This window comes from Homo sapiens, chromosome 20, assembly GCF_000001405.40.
Source record: "Homo sapiens chromosome 20, GRCh38.p14 Primary Assembly".
NCBI lineage: Eukaryota > Metazoa > Chordata > Mammalia > Primates > Hominidae > Homo > Homo sapiens.
Window position 1 is genome coordinate 51,430,623 of NC_000020.11, and position 23,196 is coordinate 51,453,818.

A 23,196-nucleotide genomic window follows, 5' to 3' on the forward strand; every position below is an offset into this window, starting at 1 on the left:
CGTTTTTGATCGACTGTCTCCCTAGGGATTGGGTATGGAGAATACCAGAAGTCACAGAGCCCCCAGATAACCTGGCTTGTCAAGACGTTTTGTAGAGTAAAGGTCAACAGCCTCTGACTATGCAGCAGAGGATATTTCTGGCACTGCGGTATATGAAATTTAGTACCCAGTCTTGATGGTAACTATTGTGGCTGTTTCAAAGCTTTCGCTTTACTTCCTACCCCTTGGCTGGGCTCCTGAGAGTTAATTTTCTGAAATAATTGAGGTTTCAGGGTATATCAGACGCTACTGCCTATAAAATACAGGACTGGAACTGGGAATGACAGCCAGCAATTTAGGTTTTTCCTTCTTCTATTAAGAAAAAACTCCAGTCGCTTAACTGTACATTTTTAAATAATGTAAACAGTGTCATGGGCTTTGCAACTCGATGGATAAACGCTTGAGGGGATGGATACCCCATTCTCTATATGTGCTTATTTCACTTTGCATGCCTGTCTCCAAACATCTCATGTACCCCACAAATATATATACCTGCTCTATATCCACAAAAAATTTTAAAAGAAAAATGAAGGTAAAGAAAGTCCAACAGCCTATTTTTCTGTCTGGAGCCCCCAAGGCAAGGCTGCTCTGCTCATCCCACCCTCTCCGACCTCCCAATGCACCTTGCGGCTCCCAGGTGAGTCTTAGCAATGCGGTTTGTCCTTCCTCCCTGAGATCCTGGACCAACACCTCATCACAGCTTCTCCACAAGACTACCCTCTGGGCAGACCCCTTGCCCACAAACGGGCACCTACAGACTCACACAAAGCCTCCTCTGCATCTTTTCCTTGGCCCAAACCACCCATCAGCTGGGCTCACCACAGCGGAAGCCCACTGCTTCCTTCCCATCAATGCGCATCTCTGTTCCACGAGCACAGGGTAGAGAAGTGCCCGCAGCCTGCCTGCAAGCTGTTCTGATAAAGCCACTTTTCAATGAGCTTTCTTCTTCCTTTTCCTCCCTCTCCCTCCCTCAAATATACAAAAGAGGGCTATAAAATGGGATTTTTTTTCTGTACAGGAATGAAAGGAGGTTAGCTTTCCTTCCTATTTTCTTGGCCTCAGTCTAAATCTGGCAATTGGAAAGAGTGTGGAAGCAGTTAAATGGACCCAGTTCATGACCCAGGGGATGCCGGGTTGCCCTCATTTGCTTTTTCTATGGGGGCGATTCTGGAGGGGGGCATCTGAAATTGTTACTGCTTCCCCTCTGCAACTACTGCTGGGAGGTAATTCTTGCACAGAGCTAGGGGTGGCTTTCAGGGTCATATTATTCAACCTCCTTAAATTAAAATGGGGACACTGAGGCCCAAAGAGATTACGGAATCCGTAGGCCATGCAGTGAACTTCCTGGGCAGAGATGCTTCAGGGCACCATCCTTACAGGCAGTGACAAAACTCAAGCGTCTTACCATCATCCAAGTAGGTCTGGTCCAAGTTCTGCTCCTGTTTAATGGTCACCCCCGCAGGTAATACTTCCTTTTGGTCACTGACCGGGGGTCCGTTTTTGGCGGCTCTTTGGCTCGTGGCATTCTGCTGCTGAATGACTGTGGGGTAGGAACCCGGGCTCAGCCTCTGACCTTGACTGACCGGGGGCGGGCCAGGTCTGGTGGTGCCTGGTGCGAAATTCTCGCAGTACATGATGTGCTGGAACTCCTGGTGGCTTCCGCAGCGCAGCTGCTGGTTGGTGGGTGAGTAGTGGATCACAGGCGAGGCCTGCTGGTTGGTCGGAGAGGGGTGGAGCAGGGCTGAGCTCTGGCCCTGGGAGCCGGCGTGCACCAGCACAGAGCGGTGAGCGTCCGCAAGGGACAGCGGGGCGGCCATGAGGGCCGGCTGCTGATAGCCCAGCAGGCTGGGGCTCAGGCTCTTGCTCCGCTGGTAGAGTACGGCCGCTGGGTTCTGTTGCTGGTAGCGGGCGTCAGGGGATGAGAGCCCCGTGCGGAACTGCTGGCAGGGAGCCATGGTGGCCACGAGGCAGGAGGGGGACTCGGCCACCATCGGGTGCTGGGGGTAGTAAGGCTGGCTCCCCAGGCCTCCATGGGTGGGGCTGCAGATCAGAGTGGGGTCATATTCATCCGTGGGCTCCGTCTTGATGGCTGGGACTGGGAGGAGAAAAGAGCACATAGGGGCGCCCATGGCAGTGAGCCACGGATGTGCACGGAGGATTCGTGGATGGTGCTTGAGAACATGGCCTTGGGAGTCCATACGGGTGGGACAAACAGCTGGTCCCTGTCACTTATCAGCCTTGGGCAAAAGGCTCCCCATGCAATTGTCTTAGGTAGGAAATTTTACCCTGGCCATGAACATCTTGAATTATAGATTTTTCCAATATTGGAAAGGTGGCTGGTAGGTCTGACTCAGCCCTGGGATGTTTACAGCCTATCTCTCCAGGTGACAGCTCAGAGGAGAATGCTTGATTTCAGATGATGCCTCCCCCTCTTTCTATCCCAGCAGCTCCTGTCTCCGCTTGCTTTCCTTTCTACTGCTTATCCCCGTCAGAAATGTCATAGATGCTTTACATGCTGATTTATTACCTAAATACGCCCTGCCTCCAAATGTCAGCTCCTCAAAGAGAGGACTTTTGTCTGGTTTTTGATCCTCATGACCCAAAACAGCACCTGGTACTTAATGGGCACTCAGATATTTTCTAGACAAAGGAATCAGCAAAGTGACTGTTTCCTTCCTCCATTCTGTAGTGCTTTGGGGGAATAAGCACTACTGTCTCAAGCCTCAGTTTCCCCATCTGTTACCTGGCAGGAACAATCATACCTACCCCCACGAGATCACTGGGAGGATTAAATGTGTGTGCAAAGCACTGAGTACAGTGGCTGGCATACAGTAAGTGCTCAATGCTTGCTGTCACTGCTATTCTCTTACTATGATCATCCATCATGACTACCACTTGTGTTGTCGCTGTGGCCATTCCTTTCTCCCTGCCCAGCACCAGTCACTGAAATCACTCCTTCCCCAACATCCATACTAAAGCATTACCAATCCCAGGAGTTGAGGAATCAGTTTTCTTTTTACTGGAGTGAGTCAGTGACAGGACTGTGACCAAGTGTGTGTGCATGTGTGTGTGCGCATGCGTGTGTGTTCATGCATGCATGTGTGTGTGTGTGTGTGTGTGTGTGTGTTGTGGTGGGGGACCTCCAAGTATTGGGGTTTGGAGGAGATAAGGAGACTAGGCAAGGCTGTCTCTAACCACAGAAATTGTCCCTCGAGGTGCCATTCAAAGGCCATCACCTCACTCCCTGGCCCAACTGGGAGACTGAGAGCTCACTCCAGCCACACTCAACCAGACAAGAGCCAAGGCCGGGCCACAAATGAGAGGCAAGAGCACCATGAAACATATCTGAGAGCATGTCTGCTCAAAGGGATTCCTGAGCTGCAGTCTAGAGCCCCCCCAGCAATCTCCCACAGTTTTGGGTCCTGGTGACCTGAACCCTGCCCTGATAGAGTGTCATGTCTGTCCCAAGACAGCAGTGTCCTCACAAGGGTCAACACAAAACTGTGGGCACAAGTCAAGCTCACCAAGGCAAGGCTGCCAGGGCAGTCAAGCTCACCAAGGCAAGGCTGCCAGGGCAGTCAAGCTCACCAAGGCAAGGCTGCCAGGGCACCCCTCAGTATAATGCTTCTAGAAGCCCAGAGGCTCCCTGAGAAACTGTCATAGGATGCAAATTATACCCTGGGTGATTGTCTCGAATTATAGGTTTCCAATCTTGGAAGGTAGCTAGCAGGCGTTTCTCAGCCTGGGAAGCCTATAGCCTATTTCCCAAGGGAGAGCTCAGAGAAGCATTTTTAAAATTTAAAATTATGCTTCCCCTGGCTGTTCCTGTCCACCTTTTCTACAGCCCCAATCGTAATCCAACATATCAATAATATCAACATTATCTATGACCTAATCCCCTCTGTTAGAATGGCAGTTCCACATGGACAGGGATTCTTACCCTGTAGTGTTCACAGCTGTGTCCACAAGCCAAGAACAGTGCCTGACACTCAGATATTTTCTGGACAAATGAATGCATGAAAAAATGGTACTCATCACCTTTCTTGGGGCTGTACTTTGTGGGAATGAGACCTCCTGACCCGGTTATCCACCAGTCACTCCATTAGGCCATGGGGTGATGACTCACATGGGGGGGTCACATAAAGATTCTGCAGGTTTTAGGGCACAGCCCCTCTATCATGATCAAATCCAAGCCAGGGACAGGAGTCATCCACTTACCACCCTTCTGCTGAACATGCGTACACACACCCTTCTTCTATTCCCCCTTCCCCTAAAGGAAGGTACTAAGGCAATAAGAGCTAATATCACTGACATCAGCTTACTTTGCACTGTGCTAAGGATTTATGTGCATTTAATTTCCGGAACCCTTATAAGGAAGATGCTGTCTCACAGATGATGCAACTGAGGCTCAGAGAGGTTGAGTCATCTGTCCAAAGTTACCCGGCTAGGAGCAGACTTCAGGAGTCCTGAGCCCTGTGCCTGTACTGCCTCTCAATAACAAAGGGGTCATCAGAAACACTCCTTACCTGGGTGGTAGGTAAAGTGCTGAGGCTGACTTCGTTTTCTCTTCCCATTGATGACGTAGAAGTTCACTTTTACAGGTGTGCGGATATGCTTGTTCCGATATTCAGGGATCTCAACAAAAAGCATGTTCTATAAGGAAGGAGTTGTCATGAACTTAACTGCAATCATGTCTCAGTTCCTACCCAGACCCTAAGCGCATCCAGGCAGCCCACTGTCTAATGGGTGTTTTGATGTGCCTTTCATCGGTTTACAGGGGAAGTTCAATTTCAGGGGAATTTAACTTGTCAGCGGCAGCAAAAAATAATACTCCATCAAAATATAATAAGGTGTCACAGTTGCAAATCAGAGAGTGTGGTGCCCAATAAATGTTGAACTCACTCATTAATATGCACATATTGAGTACCTGTTAGGTCCAGAGCTCTGGGGGACACTGATGAAGGAAGGAGGGAAAGAAGGAAAGAGCATGAAAGAGGGAAACGTGAGGGGGATTGAGAGACACTCAGGTGCGTCACGTGCTTACGGGCTGGCTCTTGTCCTTATCCACCGTGGCTTCCATCTCCCAAATTTGCTGTCCATCTAGAAAAATTCAAAAATGACAGACTTTGAAGGAACTATTAGAAACCAAAGATTTAAGACAAAAACTCACCAACTTCTGTTTATCTTAGCTTGTATATTATGTCATTTCAGTAAGGTGTGTGTCAATATGTGCACGTGTGTGTACATATGTATTTATACATATAAATATTTCCTTTTTCCAAAAGGAGACATGGTGTCAATAGAAAACAAGGCAACATTGTCCTAAGCAAATTAAGGCAGGAACAGAAAACTCAACGCCACATGTTCTCATTTATAAGTGGGAGCTAAGCATGGGGTATACACGGACATGAAGATGGGAACAGCAGATACTGAGGACTAATGTAGGTGGGAGACAGGGACCAGGGATCTACCAATTGGGTACTATGCTCACTGCCTGACTGACAGGCTCATTCATACCCGAACCTCAGTGTCATGTAATATACCCATGTAACAAACCACATGTACTTCCCAAATCTAAAAGTTGAAGTTATATTTTAAAAAATTAAAAAATAAAATAATGTTGACAGCCAGAAGAAAGAAAACAGGGCAACAACAGAAAATAAGAAAAAAAATAGAAACTGTCCAGAATCCTCCCATCATTTTTTCCCTGTATCTGAATGTCTATCTTTCTATTTTTTTTTTTTTTTTAAAAAGGCATTATTAAGGGCTGGGCATGGTGGCTTATGCCTGTAATCCAAGCCCTTTGGGAGGCCAAGGCAGATGGATCACTTGAGGCTAGGAGTTCGAGACCAGCCTGGCCAGCATGGTGAAACCCCGTCTCTACTAAAAATAAAAATACAAAAATTAGCCAGGTGTGGTTGCAGGTGCCTGTAATCCCAGCTACTTGGGAGGCTGAGGCATGAGAATTGCCTGAACCCAGGAGGCGGACGTTACAGCAAACCAAGATTACACCACTGCACTCCAGACTGGGCGACAGAGTGAGACTTTGTCTCAAAACAAACAAACAAACAAACAAACAAATAAATAAGTAAATAAATAAGTAAATAATTTTAAAAAGCATTGTTATATGTTACACTTTATCCTACGCCAAAGCTGTTAGAGAAGCGCCATGACAGGTCCCTGACTGTCCCAGACACGCCTCCTTGGTGGTCTGAGAACACAGGCTTAAAGATGCGGCCCCAAGTCATGAGGGAAGCCAGTGACTTCAGTGGTATCCTGGCTCACAAGTCACTGAAGAGCAGAAAGACAGGGGCTCACCCTCCACCTTTCCTCAGCAGACAGCCTGGATCTCATGTCACTCATAACTACTGATGAAGAGGTTTTGCTCAGTAAACTCTCCTGTCCAGAAGCAGAACACTACTCCCCCAGTTTGGGGCCAAGAAGTTGGGCCAAAAAAAAAAAAAAAAAAACCCTGCATTTGCAAATAATTGATTTCTCTTGCTGACCACCTATACTGGTCATTGGTAGTTTTCAGCTGAAACAAATAATTTCAACAAGTATTTCCAGGGTGTTTTGTGGAACACTGGTTCTGAAGGATATTAAATAGTTTTATGAGAAGGGGGAAAAATCTACATGCTAATGAGCATTTGGAAACTGCTGAGTCAAAGTCAAATGGCTTTCTTCACTGCAGGACTTCTCAGAAGCTTTAACATGCTGCTGTGCAGAGTAACTCTGCGAGGTGGGCTGGAGTACATAGCACTTCCCAAGGTTTGACCAATGAACCCCTCCCTACTTTTAAGCACAGCTATTCCCATCTTCTGTGATTGCTTAGGTTTGAACCCATATAGTCTTGGCTCTTAAGATTCACCCAGCGAAATCTGGACTTCAAGCGTTCTTAAACATACTCCCACCCACCTCCCCCATGAAAAATTAATATAAAGTATTGTGATTGCTCTCTAGATGATCTTAACAAGGAACACGCAATGAACACGCTAGAGCCCTTTGTAACAATTAAGTCTGTAAGTCCTGACCTTACAGCGCAATTCCTGAAATGACTCAGCAAGACATGGGCTATGTTAAAAGGGAAAAGAACAGGCAGTTTGTTTACTGACTCTCACTCTAGTGTCCCTTGGTCCCTGCTGAAGGGACCAAGTCATATTTATCACCATCTCCCCAACACGCACAAATGCCTAATCAACATCTCATGACTGAACAGACAGAAGTGTCAGCAGCTCCAAAGGCTGCTGGTGAGGCCAAGAAAAGGCCAAAGGCTAACATCACCCATGCCCCCTTGATGAGGGCAGAATACTTCGGCCCCCTGTTTTCTCAGACAACTGAGCAGGCATGTCTGATGCTCAAAAGGAAGCAAGGGAAGATCGCTGGATGGACATCGAGGAATTGGAAGTGAAGTCATCAAGACCTGAGTCCTTTCAGTGTGCAAAGTCCTGTACAGAACTAGTCAGGGACAATCCTCATTTCTTTGTCAAAGACAAGTCAAAGACCACCCAACAGAGACACATGTCCCCTTTTCAGGTAGAGGTCACCACCAGGAGCGTGACTGTACAGGCCAACCTAGGGTCTTCATCAAAAAGTGGGTCCTCATCCACACCTGCAAAGTGAGCTTGAAGCCTGAAGACTGAGTAAGAAATGAACAGCGGAAATGGCAACATGTTGATGTTTGGTTTGTCACCCTCCCCCATAGCCTCTCCTTGCCTGAATTGAATTCTTGAATTCTGCTACCAACAGCATCATTTCTTTTTCCACTTATATGAGCTTGCTTTGAAAAAAAAAAAAAAAAGATCATTTTCAGAAGTTCATAATGGGGAAGAAAGGGAGAAAATAGTAGCTGGAAATGTGGTCAGGAAGTATTAAGTAGGATCCATAAAGCTTCCATTCCCAGCTGTCTTCCAGGCTCACACCAATAAGTGGCAGATGAAACAGAAAATACAAAATGGCGGTCCAACAAAAAGGGCATCACCAAGAGGAGAGTTCTCATGGACTGTCCTCTCCGGGTCAAGGGACGCAACACGAAGAAGGAGACCTTTTCCCACCTCTGGTGGGTGTGCATGGCAGACAAAACTCTACCCACTGACAGCCATAGAATTCCAGCACACAGGTTCTTGAGAGTACCCTTAGAAACTAGCCAGCCCTGCACTGGCAGACAAGGCAACTGAGGCCCAGAGAAGCAAGGCGGCTGTGCAAAGACCCACAGTAGTTATTAAATCACAGCCTTTAAGCAACAACTGACATAATCTAATAACAAAGGAGATGGCTTCAAAGACAGGTCAAGGTTGTTACACGAGAGAAACTTACCAGATCATTGTGAGGCTAGAAGGTTCCTGGGAGGCTGGAGAAAGATCTCATGTGGGTGGGACCCTTGTAGGGTCACTCACCACAAAGATTCATGCAGATGCAGATTTCAAGCCCTTCCCTGCTTTGCTGTGCCCTCAAGATACCGTGGAAGCTTCACTGTGGCCCTCAAGGCCCTGCACAACCTGGCTCCTACCCTCATTCCTGCCTCTCCAGGCACTATTCTTACCCCTGAGTCTTATGAGCGCTCACTACATGCCTGGCATCACTCTAAGCACCTCGTATACATGGGCTTGTCTCATCTGTACAGCACCCATAGGAGGCAGGTCTCCTCACCCCATCCTACAGGGGAGGACACCAGGCACAGAGAGGCAAGAGCACAGGCCAAGGTCACACAGCCAGACCCTGTGGGGAAGCCGGATTGGAACCCAGGCAGCCTGGCCTCAGAGTCAGCACTCCTTATGCAGTTTCAGATCCCTGTGCCTTGCAGCTCCTCCATCTAGTTCCTCTCCTCTGAGTTCCAGCCACAGCAACCAGCCCTTCCTCGGGACGCCCCAAAGTGAGGCGGTGAGCCGCCACATCCCACAGCCTCCCCAGAGCCTGGTAAGTGTGGGTCACAGGGAAAGACGCCCATGGGGGGCAGGGGGAAAGTCCTGCCCTCTCCAGTGTTCTCTGCCAGGCCTTCCACAACACGCTGACTGGAACCCTGAGCCTTCCTGGCCATGTCCTGCGGCCACAACCAACTTCTGTCACCCCAGTGCTCTGCCATTTTACTCCCACGTACCCCAAATTTCGGAGCAGACACACCCAGCTTCAAATCCTTGACTACCCCCAATGATTTGTGAGACCTTAGATATGGCACGATCTCTCTCCCTGCCTCTTATCCAACATATGGAGATAATCATAGTACCCACACCTTATGGGGTCGTTCTGAAGATTAAATATGGTAACAGACCTGAGCAGGGTATTATATAAATGTTCAGGGCCGGGCAAAGTGGCTCACGCCTGTGATCCCAGCACTTTGGGAGGCCAAGGCGGGCGGATCACCTGAGGTCAAGAGTTTGGGACTAGCCAGGCCAACATGGTAAAACCCCGTCTCTACTAAAAATACAAAAAATTAGTCAGCATGGTGGCATGCACCTGTAATCCCAGCTACTTGGGGAGCTGAGGCAGGAGGATCTCTTGAACCCAGAGATGGAGGTTGCAGTGAGCTGAGAGCATGCCATTGCACTCCAGCCTGGGCAACAAGAGCAAAACTCCATCTCAAAAAAAAAAAAAAAAAAAAAATGTTCAACAGAAGATACCTGTTACGATTATGGCTAGTGGCAACAGATTATTTCAACACTGTCTTCTTTATCATTTGTTGCATATATTCCACAATGTGTCAATACTGAGAAAAACACAAGCATTTTAAAATCAGAAAATAATAAACATTTTCCAAGTGCATTTTATGATTGCAATACTTCTGCCTACAGGTTTGGGCTGGAGGGAATTTATGAAGCGACGAAGTCTGTTATGGGAGACTGCAGCATGGTGCCTGATTTTCCTTTGCTTTCCAAAGTGGGTCTTTTCACCATTAACTTTAAAAACACACACAGAGAAAAAGACCTCAGAGGAATAAGAAATCAAAACTTAAACTATGAGCCAAGGGTCCATCTTCTTTCTTTTGCACCCTTTTGGTACCAGAAGCTCCAAGGGCAGCCAAGGAATCTGGCCTGACCTGTACTTTCTCATGGAAGGTCTGCACTCGGTTCTGGACAAACAAGTCCCCAACAGGAAGTGAAAGCCCACATCCGTTGTCTTTCTTGATTTTATGCAGCACGTGCAAGACACACTCCAGGAGGCTGGTCTCTAAGGGAAGTGTGCGGTTTGCAAGGTACCTTGGGGTCATTTTCCCAGGCTCCTCCTCCCCACTCCACCCCGCATCCACGGGTGCACAAGTCCTGGGCTTTCGCCTGGAGAACCCAATAATCCCAACCTCTGAATTGCACTCCCATGGGGCAGTAGAATTCAAAACAAATGCTGATGGGGCCAGGTGTTGTGGTTCACACCTGTAATCCCAGCACTTTGGGAGGCCGAGGCGAGTGGATCACTTGAGGTCAGGAGTTCAAGACCAGCCTGGCCAACGTGGCGAAACCCGATCTCTACTACAAATACAAAAATTAGCGAGGCATGGTGGCGGGCACTTGCAATCCCAGCTACTCGGGAGGCTGAGGCAGGAGAATCACTTGAACCTGGGAGGTGGAGGTTGCAGTGAGCCGAGATCGCACCACTGCACTCCAGCCTGGGTGACAGAGCAAGACTTCATCTCAAAAATAAAAAATAAATGCTGATGGAGTTTTCTCAGCCTGATGTCACTCTGCCCAGGTTCAAGTTCTGTCCCCAAAGTTTACTCACTGTGTGGCCTTCGAGTGGCAGCTCTCTGTGCCTCAGTTTCCTCATAAGCAAAAATGATAAAGTTTGGCCAGGTTCGGTGGCTCATGACTGTAATCCCAGCACTTTGGGAGGCCAAGGTAGGTGGACCACCTGAGGTCAGGAGTTCGAGACCCACCTGACCAACATGGTGAAACCCTGTCTCTACTAAAAATACAAAAAATTAGCTGGGCGTGGTAGTGGGCGCCTGTAATCCTAGCTACTTGGGAGGCTGAGGCAGGAGAATCGCTTGAACCGGGGAGGCGGAGGTTGCAGTGAGCCGAGATCACACCATTGCACTCCAGCCTGGACAACAAGAGCAAAACTCCATCTCAAAAAAAAAAAAAAAAAGATAAAGTTAATATTACTGAACTTAAGAAGATGTGGCGAGAATTAAAATAGACAGTGTATGTGAAATGCTTAGTAAAATTCCCAGCGCATAGTTAATGCTGCTGTCATTACTATGATTTTAGAATTTGGAGTCTTGCATTGTTCTGATTCCAGTAAAAAAGAATTGAAGGGCCATCCTGACCCAAGTGCTTTGGTGGGTATTGAAGTTTTTTGCTTCATTTCATTGCATTGAATTCCTCATTGCAAATAAATAAAATGGTCATAAAAAGTATTTATTGGTAGGGGACTGGTTGAATTAATTATGGGCCACCTGTAATTAGTATGGAAAATCAGTAGAAGAGCACTGGGCAGCCCTTAGGTAGATTTGTGTTTTCTAACCTGAAAACATGACCCTGTTATATTAAAAAGCAGATTTTGCTGGGCACGGTGGCTCACGCCTGTAATCCCAGCACTTTGGGAAGCCGAGGTGGGTGGATCACTTGAGGTCAGGAGTTTGAGACCAGCCTGGTCAACATGCTGAAATCCCGTCTCTACTAAAAATACAAAAATTAGCTGGGTGTGGTGGCACGTGCCTGTAATTCCAGCTACTCAGGAGGCTGAGGCATGAGAATCACTTGAATCCGGGAGGTAGAGGTTGCAGTAAGCTGAGATCGCACCACTGCAGTCCAGCCTGGGCGACAAAGTGAGCCTCTGCCTCAAAAAAATAAAGTAAAATAAAATAAAATAAAAAGCAGATTTTAAAAAAATGCTGCAGACCAGTATGTACCGCATGATGCCGCTTTGTAAGTCTATTCTTAAGTCTGCTTAAACTTAGAAAGCCTGTGCCCCAAGCTACTCATATGGTTGTACCTCCAGGGCTGGGCCTGAATGCGTGAGGTGAGACCTTCATGCCTTTCTTCACTGATTCAAGAAACATGTAACATCACAGTGACTTTAATTTGTTTATATTTTTATTATTTTTAAATAAAGTTTGTTTTTTTTTTTTTTCTTAAGAAAAAGGCACATTGCAACTGCCTGTTGACTTTCCTGTCTCTTGGGAGCCCTCCGGGGCCACAGCCTGAGAGGGAGGCTGGGCATGGACCATCAGCTCTGACTCAGCTCCGGCACAGCTGTACCCCAGGCCGAGAGATGGACCATGTATGCCTTCCAGCCCTCCGGGGCCCCCAAACAGGGAGGCAGGGCCGAACATTCCACCCAGGCTCAAGAGAGACATGGACTCAGGGTTGCTTATGTCTACTGAGGTGGGGACCCAGCCTCTCTACCCAGCTTTCCTCCCCTGATTCCATTAGACACACTGGCCTTCTCTCTCCCTCCAACAGCCACACCTGCCTATCTCCAGGCCTTGGAACTTGCTGTTGCCACCTCTCAAGATGCTTTTCTTCAGCTCTTCTGTGACCATCCCCTTCCCATCCTTCAGGTGCAGCTCAGGGAGACCCCCCCTTCATCCTACACCATCCCCTTATAACTTTCTACTCCTCCCTTCCAGCCTGAAATCATTTTAGCTACCTATTGGTTTGCTATCTCCACCCAGCCTCAGGCTGTGAGTTACCCCAGAGCAGGGCTATAGCTATCTCATTCTCTGCTTTATCCTTAGCTCTACAGCATCTGGCACATAACAGTTGCTCAATTAATACTGGCTGAATAAACAAACAAATTGACCTCAGGATCCTCCAGTGTGCACCCTACAGCCAGGGTCCAGGAAACATCTGACCACTGACCTCTCCAGCCGCAGGACCCTGCAAGGAGGAATCACCAAGCCCTTATTACGGGATCCTTTGTGGGAATCAGCTGATGAGGAAGGAGCTGGGAATATGGGTGCAGACAAGGAATCAAACACAATCAGAGCAACACAGCCCAGACAGCATTCCCAGTGCCATTGACCAGAAGTTCCGTATAATCCACCTCCCAACCCACACCTTGGGTCTGGGACTCTGGGCAGACCTACCCCCGTGGAACAGGACTGAGAAGACCAAGTATGCTTCTACCGCTCTGGGCTGAGATGAAATAAAGGACTTCGGTCTCTTGAGCAGATGTTCAGGCAAAATTACCCCATCCAAAATTAACAAGGACTGGCAGCCGGTGTGAAAACAGCCCTTCCAAGTCTTAGTCAGAGGGGAAGAGAAAGGAGCCAACCACTTTGGGCAAAAGGGTTAGGTCTAGAGAAGACTTAGCACAACTCTGCAAGTTAAAAAAAAAAACAAAAAAAATAGGGTGGGGGGATGGCTAAAGTAACATCATAGCCTTTGTTTTGTGTTTGTTTGTTTTTGAAACAGGGTCTCACTTCATTGCCCAGGCAGGAGTCCATGGCGCGATCTCAGCTCACTGCAACCTCCACTTCCCAGGTTCAAGAGATTCTCCTGCCTCAGCCTCCCAAGTAGCTGGGATTACAGGCACATGCCACCACGGCCGGCTAATTTTTGCATTTCAAGTAGAGATGGAGTTTCACCATGTTGGCCAGGCTGGTCTTGAACTCCTGACCTCAGGTGATCCGCCCGCCTTGGCCTCCCAAAGTGCTGGGATTACAGGCATGAGCCACCACGCCCACCTGACATTATAGCCTCTGCTTTATCTTCACTGCAGAGTCAACTCCAGAAGAAAACCCCTACTAGATGCAAGAAGAATGGGCATCGCTAACCAGCCCGTTTGCTGATGTATGGCCCCTATACTTTCGTTGGTTTCCTGGTTTCTCTTTGCAGGCAATTATTTAACCCTGTGATGGAACAAAGCAGCCAGGAAGCAGTAGGGTTGGCCGTGGGTTGGGGCTGGAGTCTTAGCAGTCAGCCTGGAGGAGCTGCGGGCTCATGTCAGCACTCTGGGAGAAATGAGCAAGCTTTTGGGAGGAGGAAGGCAAATCCATCCTCACCCGGGCTGTGAGCATGCCACTGGGCTCGAGGCGAATGGGGAGGAAATCAAAGTGTCAGCTCGTGTTAGGAAACCGCACATGATGCTTCCCAGTCCTGGCCGTGCTTTTAAAAATTAGCCAAATAAAAATGGTTGAAGTCATTTCAGTCTGCTCTTTATGACTGCTAACTAGCAGAAAAACGTGTCCTCCCTGGAAGCATGGGCTTAATGAGCCCAGCAGACAGGGGTGGGGTGGGGGAGATTCAGGAATGGCCCCCCCAGCTTAGGATTTCAGCCGCCCGACAGGGTAACACTGCTCAAATGGATTTACTGAGATCTAGAAAGGAAGTCCCTTGATTCCCGAGTCTCCTGCCCCACTACTTCCTTGGTGGGCTTGCCCCAACCATCCCCCACCGGGACAACTGGTCCAGCTGCTCACTCACCTCCCAGTTTCTCCGAGTGCTGCCCCCCACCAAGTCCACTGTTCATACAGGTGGCCAGAGCACTCAAACATCAACCAGACCATGCCACTCCCCTGCTCAAAAACCTCCAACAACTACCTGTTGCTTTGGGAATTCAATCCAAACTCCTTGCCATGACTGCAGGGCCCAGCTGGGCCTGCCCCCCGCAGCACCTCTCCAGGCTGGGCTCTCACTCTCACGACGCACCAGCCGCCCGGGCCTGCTTCCCATTCCTCAAATGCCCTAAGCTCATCTCCACGCTGGGGCCTTGGCACTGGGCAGCTCCTTTTGCCTGGGACACTCTCCCAGCAGTCCTTGTGGCTCTCTCTTTCCCACCTTCAGGGGTCTGCTGAAAGCCATCTCCTCCAGCAAGAGCTCCCTGACTCCTCTATCCAGAGTTACCAGATTTAACCAATAAAAATACAGGATGTTCAGTTAAACTTGGACTGCAGAAAACAACGAATACCTTTTTACTGCAAGTATGTCCCAAACTCCTTGCCATTGTATAGAACATACTTTTACTAAAGAAATTCACTGTTTGGGATTCAAATTTGACTGCGCATCCTATATTTTCCCCCCTAACTCCACACGCTTTTCTCTCTTGGGCCTGTGACCTGGCTTCCCTGGCTTCATAGCATTTTCCCCATCTGAAAGTGTCCTGCTTATAAACAAGTTTCAGACTGTCCACTCCCAAGGGCAGGGACCTCACCTGCCATGTGTCCCCTGTGCCTGGCATGGCACTGCACATAGTAGGTGCTCAATAAACACCCGGGAAATGAACATGGAAGCACCGGGGGCTGAGTGAGTGGAGCAAGCCTGAGAGGGCACGCTTGGATGCTCAGTCAAGGTCAATCTTACACAGAGGTCGGATTTCAGCTCCTCCCCTGTCCCACCCTAGACGTGACTCTTCTCGGCCCTAAGCTGTCATCTGTGGATGATCCCCACACATTTCAGACAGCCAGCTACTCTGGGAACCAGGAAGTTGGGGTTTCAGGCCCAGCCCTCCACTGATGAACTCTGTCACCTCAAAGAAGTCTAGTGACCACACTGTGTGACTCGACTTCCCCATCCGTAAAATGGGAAGGGGAGGAAGCAGACCATGAGTTACCCTCCCTCCAGCTGCCAGGCTATGACTCCAGGAGTCTGATGGGTCTAGGGTAAGGACAGGAGAGGAATTCACCTCGCCAAGAAGGACTCTTCTCCCAGACAAGAAACCAACATGGCTCTGCCCTCTGAACCCTGTGTGAAGTCAACCAGGCTCCCAGAGTGCAGGTAGAAGGGCAGCTGATGTTTTCTGAGCACCTACTATGTGCCTGATACTTTCAGTTCCTTGATCTCCTTCTATTGCTAATACACCACCAACCCCATCTCAGAGATGGGAAAACTGAGTCCCAAGGTACATAGTGTGAGGCCAATCCAGGCTTCAGGCCGAGTCTGCTGGGTGATTCAAAATCCAGCCTTTGAAGTGGGAATTACACAAAGGCCTTTGGTACCAGGAACAATTTCTGATGGTGGAAGTGCTTAGACACAATGAGTGTTCTAACTAAAAACTCATTTCTCTGTGGCCTCCTTCAAATGGATGCAAACGGAATGAACTGCAGGATTCTTGGACTTAAAAGCCTGTTCTTCAATGCAGGGGACCAAGTTTAGGCAAATATTTAGATCCCTGAAAACGAGACCATTTTCTCTATCTCCACGGCAGCTTCGGAGTTGCAATCTGGATCGCATCTTTGGAGAGCAGCTTCGTGTCCCAGCAAAGCTGTGGGTAAGTGATGGGCTCCAGCCCGGGGGGCCACTGACACCAGGGACATGAGTCACAGAGGGCAAAGGTCCGGAGAGCCTTAGTCATGCCCCAGCCCTGTCTGGAGTCTGACATTTCCCAGAGGGAAGCCCCATCTAGAGACTCCCATACCAGGTCTATTGTTTCAGAGAACATCACGCCGGGTACAACCAAACCCAGGGAGAGAAACAGGTGGGAAGAGCAGGTGTCTGCTCTAAGATGGTTCCGATTGTTCCAGGGCACAAATTCACGGAAAAATACTTAATTTAGAAAAAAAAAAATTATTTTAAGCATATGCATTTATATTTATTAAACAAAGCTCAAAATACAACCTTTGGGGACCTCCAAGTAATAAAATGACTCATGTCAGGATATGATGACTCAGTGGGAAAGAGGGAATTCCACCACCCACGCGTCCTTTCTAAAAAATCAATTTGTCCTCTGGACAGGTGATGGGAGCCTCTGCCATCAGACCGTTCCAAGAAAATCGTCCAGCAAAACAAAACAAAAAATTCTCTTCAAACAATTTAAGTTTCAAAGCTGAGTAATCTGATGCAGGCCAGTTTCCAACCTACGCCCCCGCAGGACACACAGAGCCAGGGAGCTAGTTGGCCAAGCCTGGGGGCCTGAATTAAGAAGGATTTACCAGCCGAAAAATTCCAAAACTCTGTGTCATGTGAAGGAACCTTCCAAAACATTGGATCCCACCCAGGCGCAGCGAGTCGCTCAAAGCCATGGCAACCCCTTTCCCGCTGCCACATCACTTTTATTTTTGTGTCCTTAGATTTTTTCCTGTTTTGCAATGTTTTGCTGGGACCCCCGACTCCGCCTGAGGCCCTGTGGCCAAGGGCCAGGGTTCCCACTGAAGTCAGGAACAGCCTGGACTTCCCAGCGTGAACTTTGCCTGAAGGGTTACACATTTTTTAAATTTCAGAGAACATCCAAATGGCTTTTCAGCAATTACTGAGAATGATAAATAGGAAAGACCCTGATTGTTCTGTTTGGTTTCTCTGTCCTCTCTGACATGACTAGAAAAAATTACTCGAGTTGACGACAAATGCTGCCTTGGGATTCCACCTCTGTCACCAGTTGTGGGCTGACCTGGGGTGCATGACTTGACATCTGTGAGCCTCAGTTACCTCATCTGTAAAATGGGGATAATGCTGCCCGCTTCTCAGGGCTGGAGTGACAACTAAAAGAGATGCATTCATTCAACAACACAAATGAGCACCTGCTATGTGCCGGGGACCACTCTGGATGCTGAGGATACAGCAGCAAACGCTGAGACTCTGCTGTCAAGGAACTAAGAGTCCAGCATGAGAGACCAGGTGATAAATGAACAGACAGACAAGGTAGGTGATTTCAACAGCGCTAAGTGCCCCCAAGAAAACAGAGCCGGGCAGTGGCACAGAAGGTGACAAGGTGTCTGGGAAGCGGGACAACTTCAGAATGACGGTCAAGGAGGACCCCGTGGAGGAAGTGACCTTTGAGCTGAGACTGGGAGGAATAGGAGGCCGCAGGCTTGAAAAGAAATGGTGGAGGAGGCCGGACGCAGTGGCTCGCGCCTGTAATCCCAACACTTTGGGAGGCCAAGGCAGGCAGATTACGAGGTCAGGAGATTGAGACCATCCTGGCTAACATGGTGAAACCCCGTCTCTACTAAACAAACTACAAAAAATTAGCCAGGCGTCGTGGCAGGTGCCTATAGTCCCAGCTACTCAGGAGGCTGGGGCAGGAGAATGGCGTGAACCTGGGAGGCGGAGCTTGCAGTGAGCCGAGATCGCGCACTCGCGCCACGCCACTCCAGCCTGGGCGACAGAGCAAAACTCCGTCTCAAAAAAAAAGAAAAGAAAAGAAATGGTGGAGGAACATTCTAAGAGCAAACGGAGAAAGCCAAGGTCCTGAGACAGAAATGGGCTTGGGGTGTTTGAGGACAGAGGGAAGCCAGGTGTTGCTATGGCCAAGTGGCAGGGAGAGAGTCAAAAAAGCTGAGGTCAGAGCCAGATCACACAGGCTCTTGAAAGTCACAAAAATAATCAAAAATAGTAATACAAATAATATAATAATCATTATTATTATTGCTGCTATAAATAAGATGCCATTTTCCAAAACACCAAGCTTTTCTAACTTAAGAAACACCACGCTGCCCCTCTCCTACTGTTTTTCCACTGCTCTCCAATTTGTCATCTTGCTGGAGTGGAAACTGCCAATTCCATTTTAGTCGACAGCTATAAAAAGAACATTGGAGCTGGTGGTGCCGATGACCAAACTCGGGGCTAAGATTAGCCCAGGAGGCTGTCACCTTTCCTTAATGTGAGAAACAGCTGGGATTCCCCTTCCTTGGAAAACTTCAACTGTTCCGCCCCGCCCCGCAGAGCCCTTGCTGGCCAAATGTCCATGGAGATGGGAACGGGGATGAGTTTTGGAAAAAAGAAGTTGAGCAACAGGGATTCCCCCTGCAGAAGGCGTCCCGGGCTGGGAGGTGAGCTCTTGAGGTCAAAAGAGCAGGACCAGCAAATGCAAGGCGAGCCCCCTCTCTGCAGAGAGCCCTCAGAGCCAGACATCCCCCGCAGAGAAGCCCACCGTGTCCCTAACACCCCCGATTGTCTCTTGTCGTTAATCCAGGAACTACATTCACCTGGGATTCTTCAGTTAGGCATGGAAGGGTCAGAAATGTATCCTCTTGATGCCGGAAACACACTAGAGAATTCAAACTGCTGCTCAGAGCGGTGCAGTGGTTAATTCAAGGATCTCTATCGCCACAAAATGGGTAAGCCTGTGGCTCAGAGCAGCTGAAGGGTCTTCACGCAAAATTAACCTGGTTCTAAGCTTTTTAAGCATAGAACAGCAGAGTCCAAGGTGTGGGGTCTAGAGCCAGGCTGCCTGAGGTCATCCCACCACTGCCCTTTATCAGCTGTGTGATCTTCACTAAGTTACTTAACTTCTCTGTGCTCAGTTTCTCACCAGTAAAATTGAGAAAACAGTAGTCTATCTTTTGGGCTCTTATGAGGGATCAGATTAGTTAGCACATACAAAGTGCTTAGAATAAGGCCTGGCACATAGTTCATTATTAATGAACTACTAATTACTCAATTACTAATAACGTTCATTATTAGTACTTACTACTGTTTTTTAATGTCTCTTGGTTCCATGAGATAAAGTCTTACTTGTCTTTGTTTTTCTACAGCCAAAATATAATGATGATAATAAAAGAGCTAACATCTAATGAGCATGTTCAATGTTCTGAGCCCTATGCAAAGCACCCAACGTGTATAATCTCATTTAATCTTGCCTCCCAAGAGAAGTAAATCATCATCTGTATCTTACAAAAGAGGAAATGTCAGCCCAGATAGGTGAAGTAACTTACTCAGAACGACACAGCTACTAAATGCAGATCAGGGATTTGAACCCAGGCCATCCGACCTCAGAGCTGTGCTGGTGACCGCTGTGGGTTACAGCCCCCCAGATCTCTCCCAGCCTAGGCCAGCACCTGGGGCAGCATGTATCAACTGAATGATGACTATGTCCTGAGTAATGAATATCACAAGACCATAAAAATAATAACAAAAGCACACGCCTGTAATCCCAAATAGGAGGCTGAGGCAGGAAGGTCACTGGAGTTCACTATGTTGAACTCACTATGTTGCCCAAGAGTTCAAGGCCAGCCTGGGCAACATAGTGAGACCCCACTTCAAAAAATAACGATGAACATCCCATGAGCACTAAGTGCATGCTGCTTATTTACATATTTAACTCCAGGAAAGAAAGACTGTCACTATCTCATTTTACAGACAGGGAAGCTGAGGCCCAAAGAGGTTGAATGACAGGTCAATGCTGAATATCACCTGTGGACGAGTCCCCTGGATTCTCCAAGCTAAACTGTCTGCCTCCCATGGGTGCCAGCTTAGATGAGACCACACACGGAAAGTGGCAGGCACAGGGCTGCCTGCAGACAGTGGCCAATAATAGGAGCTGTGATTATTACTCTTGTTCTTAACAGCCAACTTTTCACAGCTGAAACAGGCTCTGTGTTTTCCTGCCTTCAAGAGGTAAATATGAAATTTCTTCTGAAACCAAGAGAATAGAAGCTAGAGAATAAATGCCATTCACTCATTCCACAAATGCTTAATTGATGCCCTTGGATAGCTTCAGAATAATTAAACTCCCAGAGTGCTTAAAAGCTGGCTGACTCCTAACTCCGTAAGGAACTTGGTAGGATCCAGCCTCAAACTCTTTCCTGCACAGTTCCATCAGCAACAAAAAGATTTCAGTGTAAATAGAAACCACTCAGTCAACAGAGCCCTGTGTGGCTGGATCAGCCCCTCAAGGCAAAGCAGGCAGAGGCCAGGCCTTCTCCCTGCACCCCACTTTGCAGGACAGCTCGGGGGAGCTGTGCAGGCATTCCACCAAGCAGATGCTGGGCCTGAACTGCTGAGACGCAGAGGGGAAGGCTTAAGGTGACCCTGATTCTGATTTTTCCTCATGCTCTTTTCCTTTCCTTGTCTTTCCTGAAAATTTCTAAGCTGTAGACCAGCAGTTGTTGACCAGTGGCAATATTGCCCCCCAGGGCAAATTTGGCAAGGTCTGGAGACATTTTTGGTTGTCACAACTTGGGCCGCACTACTGGTGTCACGTGGGTGGAGGTCAGGGATGCTGCTGAACATCCTGCAGTGCCCAGGACAGCGCCCCTGCCAAGTCATTATCTGGGCCAAACTGTCAATAATGCTGAGGCTAAAAATGTGGTATAGACCAGGGGTCTTCAATCCCGGACCACAGACCGGTACTAGGCGCACAGCAGTAAGTGGGTGGCGGGCGAGAGAGCAAAGCTTCATCTGTGTTGACAGCCACTCCCCATCACTTGCATTACCGCCTGAGCGCTGCCTCCTGTCAGATGAGCCTGCCATTACATTCTCACAGGAGCATGAACCCTACTGTAAACTGCGCTTGCCAGGGATCTAGGTTGTGCACGCCTTAGGAGAGTCTAATGCCTGATCATCCGTTACTGTCTCCCGTCAACCCCCAGATGGGACTACCTAGTTGCAGGAAAACAAGCTCAGGGCTCCCAGTGATTCTACATGATGGTGAGTTGTATAATTATTTTATTGTATATTACAATGTAATAATCATAAAAATAAGGTACACAATAAATGTAATGTGCTTGAATCATCCTGAAACCATCAGCCCATCTCCCCAACCCTTGAAAAGAACTGTCTTCCATGCAACTGGTCCCTGGTGCCAAAAAGGTTGGGGACTGCTGGTGCAGAGTCTTCTTGCCTAGAGCAGACTTTACCTTCATCATCTCTGATCCCTCAAGCAACGCTACTCCTCAGCTCACTCCTCAACTCACTGCCACCTGGGTACGTGTGATTCAAATCACCAGAGGCCCCCCAATCACTGGACTCTCAGGCTGACCTCGGGCTCTGTGACCTTCATAGCACTGCCTCTGCTGACCCTTCCCAAGTCTCCTTCCCCTGGTCTCCAGGGCACCAGACTCCCCTGGTTCTCCTCCTCCTGCTGTGACAGCTCCTCCTCTGCCACCTTTAAGGGATGTGGCTCTCAGTTCTCTAAGCCTCCCCTTCTCCCACTGGAGGCCATCCTGGGAGGTCGGAGCCAATTCCCAGGACTTCACCTCAGATCTCATTGCTGACAGCTCCCATGACAACATCTGCAGCCAGGATCTGGTTTCTTAGTCTAGACCACGTGGCCACATACCCACCAATCTCTTGCCTTTCCACAGAGGTGAGATCATGGTTCATCCAAGAAGGCCCATGGGTACATGAGACTCAACGCTTCCACTTCCAAAATGAAACCCGTCCTCCCTGCCCAACCTCATCCCCACACAGACCTCCTCTCCTGTGTGCTAAATCTCAGCTGGCCAAGTGCACCACGTGAACAAAACAATCTCGACACTCAACCTCTTCCCCTTCCCCATCCACAGCAGCTCCAGAAAAACAGCAGCAGCCCCTGCCCCTTACCGAGCACTTCCGGTGCTAAGCCCACTTGCTCTAATTCATTCAGACCTTACCTTTGTGGGTAGGCACTGTCACTGTCCCTGCTTTTCAGGGGATAGATGATGGAGAGTTTCCGCAGGTGACACTGCCAGTGAGCAGCAGAGCTGCCCGGGTGGCACGCAGCCCTCCTGGTGGCTGGCCCTGCCACCTGCGTTCTTAATGCCTCTCTACACCACTACGTCCCATCAAACCTCAGTGACATCTGCCTTCTAAACCACTCCCGACCCATCCCTGCATCTCCCTTCCCCACTGCCACAGCCTTACTTAATACCTTTTTTGTTATTTTTCGCAAAGGCGTCATCAAACCCTTTTAAAATAAATTCTGCCTCTTGTTATGCTTCCAACTGTGAGAATGCAGTTGTCACACCCCGGTCACATGTCCAGCCCATCCCAGAAGGATGATTTGTGCGAGACTGGAAGAAGCACTCTTTGCCTAAGACAGTCTGCTTCCCCCTGCCAGAAGTTGTCTTACTAACGTGTAAACTGGTGATGTATCCAATTTGAATGGCAGCCCTCAGAGGAGGTGCCCTTGTACAGTGCACAATCCCTCCAACTGGACAACTCACCTGTTATATTCTCGGATTGTTCTAAGGACAATAAACAAATAGACAAACATCAACACCCCTTTGAAGTAACCTACTGAAATCATGTCTGTTAAGGAAAAGGAAAATTGGTTCTAGTATCCAAAATAAGTGTCCCAAGTTATTTGAGCTAATTTCCTTCTAACAACACATTTGTTTCATTAATTATTGCTTAATCTGATATTTTCCTACTTCAGATCAGCATCTTTTCTACCACATACCCACTGAAAAAGACACCGATAGTACACCAAAGGAAGAATACACGTGGTGAATAAACAAAACATTATGCGTCTCAGAGCAAGGAAATGCAAAGTAGAAAGAAGTACCAATTCCACAATGATTCCTTTTTAATTTAAAAAAATGGCATTTCTGGGATGGGGGTGAAACTATGACTGACATGATGGCAACTT

The 23,196-nt window shown here is 48.3% G+C and overlaps 1 protein-coding gene and 1 non-coding gene across 13 annotated transcripts in view, besides 4 other annotated features; both read right to left on the minus strand.

Annotated features, from left to right (window-relative positions):
* Nucleotides 1-23,196, minus strand: part of NFATC2 (nuclear factor of activated T cells 2) — a 175,877-nt gene that overhangs the window by 43,660 nt on the left and 109,021 nt on the right. For 11 of the 12 annotated variants that reach the window (NM_001258295.2, NM_001258294.2, NM_001258292.2 and 8 more), the window contains exons 7-9: nt 5,084-5,139; nt 4,566-4,692; nt 1,445-2,134 (exon numbers count right to left, since the gene is read on the minus strand). In NM_001258295.2, the coding sequence (NP_001245224.1) occupies nt 1,445-2,134; nt 4,566-4,692; nt 5,084-5,139 (873 nt within the window). The remainder of the gene's footprint in view (nt 1-1,444; nt 2,135-4,565; nt 4,693-5,083; nt 5,140-23,196) is intronic. The other variant, XM_017027851.2, reaches the window with a different exon arrangement.
* Nucleotides 4,145-5,344: an enhancer, noted in NCBI's record as "MED14-independent group 3 enhancer chr20:50051304-50052503 (GRCh37/hg19 assembly coordinates)". NCBI's record gives its function as "activates an origin of replication core promoter dependent on BRD2, BRD4, P300/CBP and CDK7 cofactors, and independent of MED14, by STARR-seq in HCT116 cells {active_cell/tissue: HCT116}" and the evidence as "EXISTENCE:reporter gene assay evidence [ECO:0000049][PMID:35650434]".
* Nucleotides 15,852-17,051: an enhancer, noted in NCBI's record as "P300/CBP strongly-dependent group 1 enhancer chr20:50063011-50064210 (GRCh37/hg19 assembly coordinates)". NCBI's record gives its function as "activates an origin of replication core promoter dependent on BRD2, BRD4, P300/CBP, MED14 and CDK7 cofactors, with strong dependence on P300/CBP, by STARR-seq in HCT116 cells {active_cell/tissue: HCT116}" and the evidence as "EXISTENCE:reporter gene assay evidence [ECO:0000049][PMID:35650434]".
* Nucleotides 16,450-16,744: an enhancer, noted in NCBI's record as "tiled region #10834; HepG2 Activating DNase matched - State 8:EnhW, and K562 Activating non-DNase unmatched - State 10:DNaseD". NCBI's record gives its function as "activates a minimal TATA promoter and a strong SV40 promoter by Sharpr-MPRA in HepG2 and K562 cells {active_cell/tissue: HepG2 | K562}" and the evidence as "EXISTENCE:reporter gene assay evidence [ECO:0000049][PMID:27701403]".
* Nucleotides 20,258-20,759: an enhancer, noted in NCBI's record as "H3K4me1 hESC enhancer chr20:50067417-50067918 (GRCh37/hg19 assembly coordinates)". NCBI's record gives its function as "activates a minimal SCP1, AML or CMV promoter by ChIP-STARR-seq in primed H9 embryonic stem cells {active_cell/tissue: H9 hESC(primed)}" and the evidence as "EXISTENCE:reporter gene assay evidence [ECO:0000049][PMID:30033119]".
* On the minus strand, nt 22,283-22,355 carry MIR3194 (microRNA 3194). The gene has a single exon (NR_036162.1). It is a non-coding gene; the product is annotated as a microRNA 3194 (primary transcript).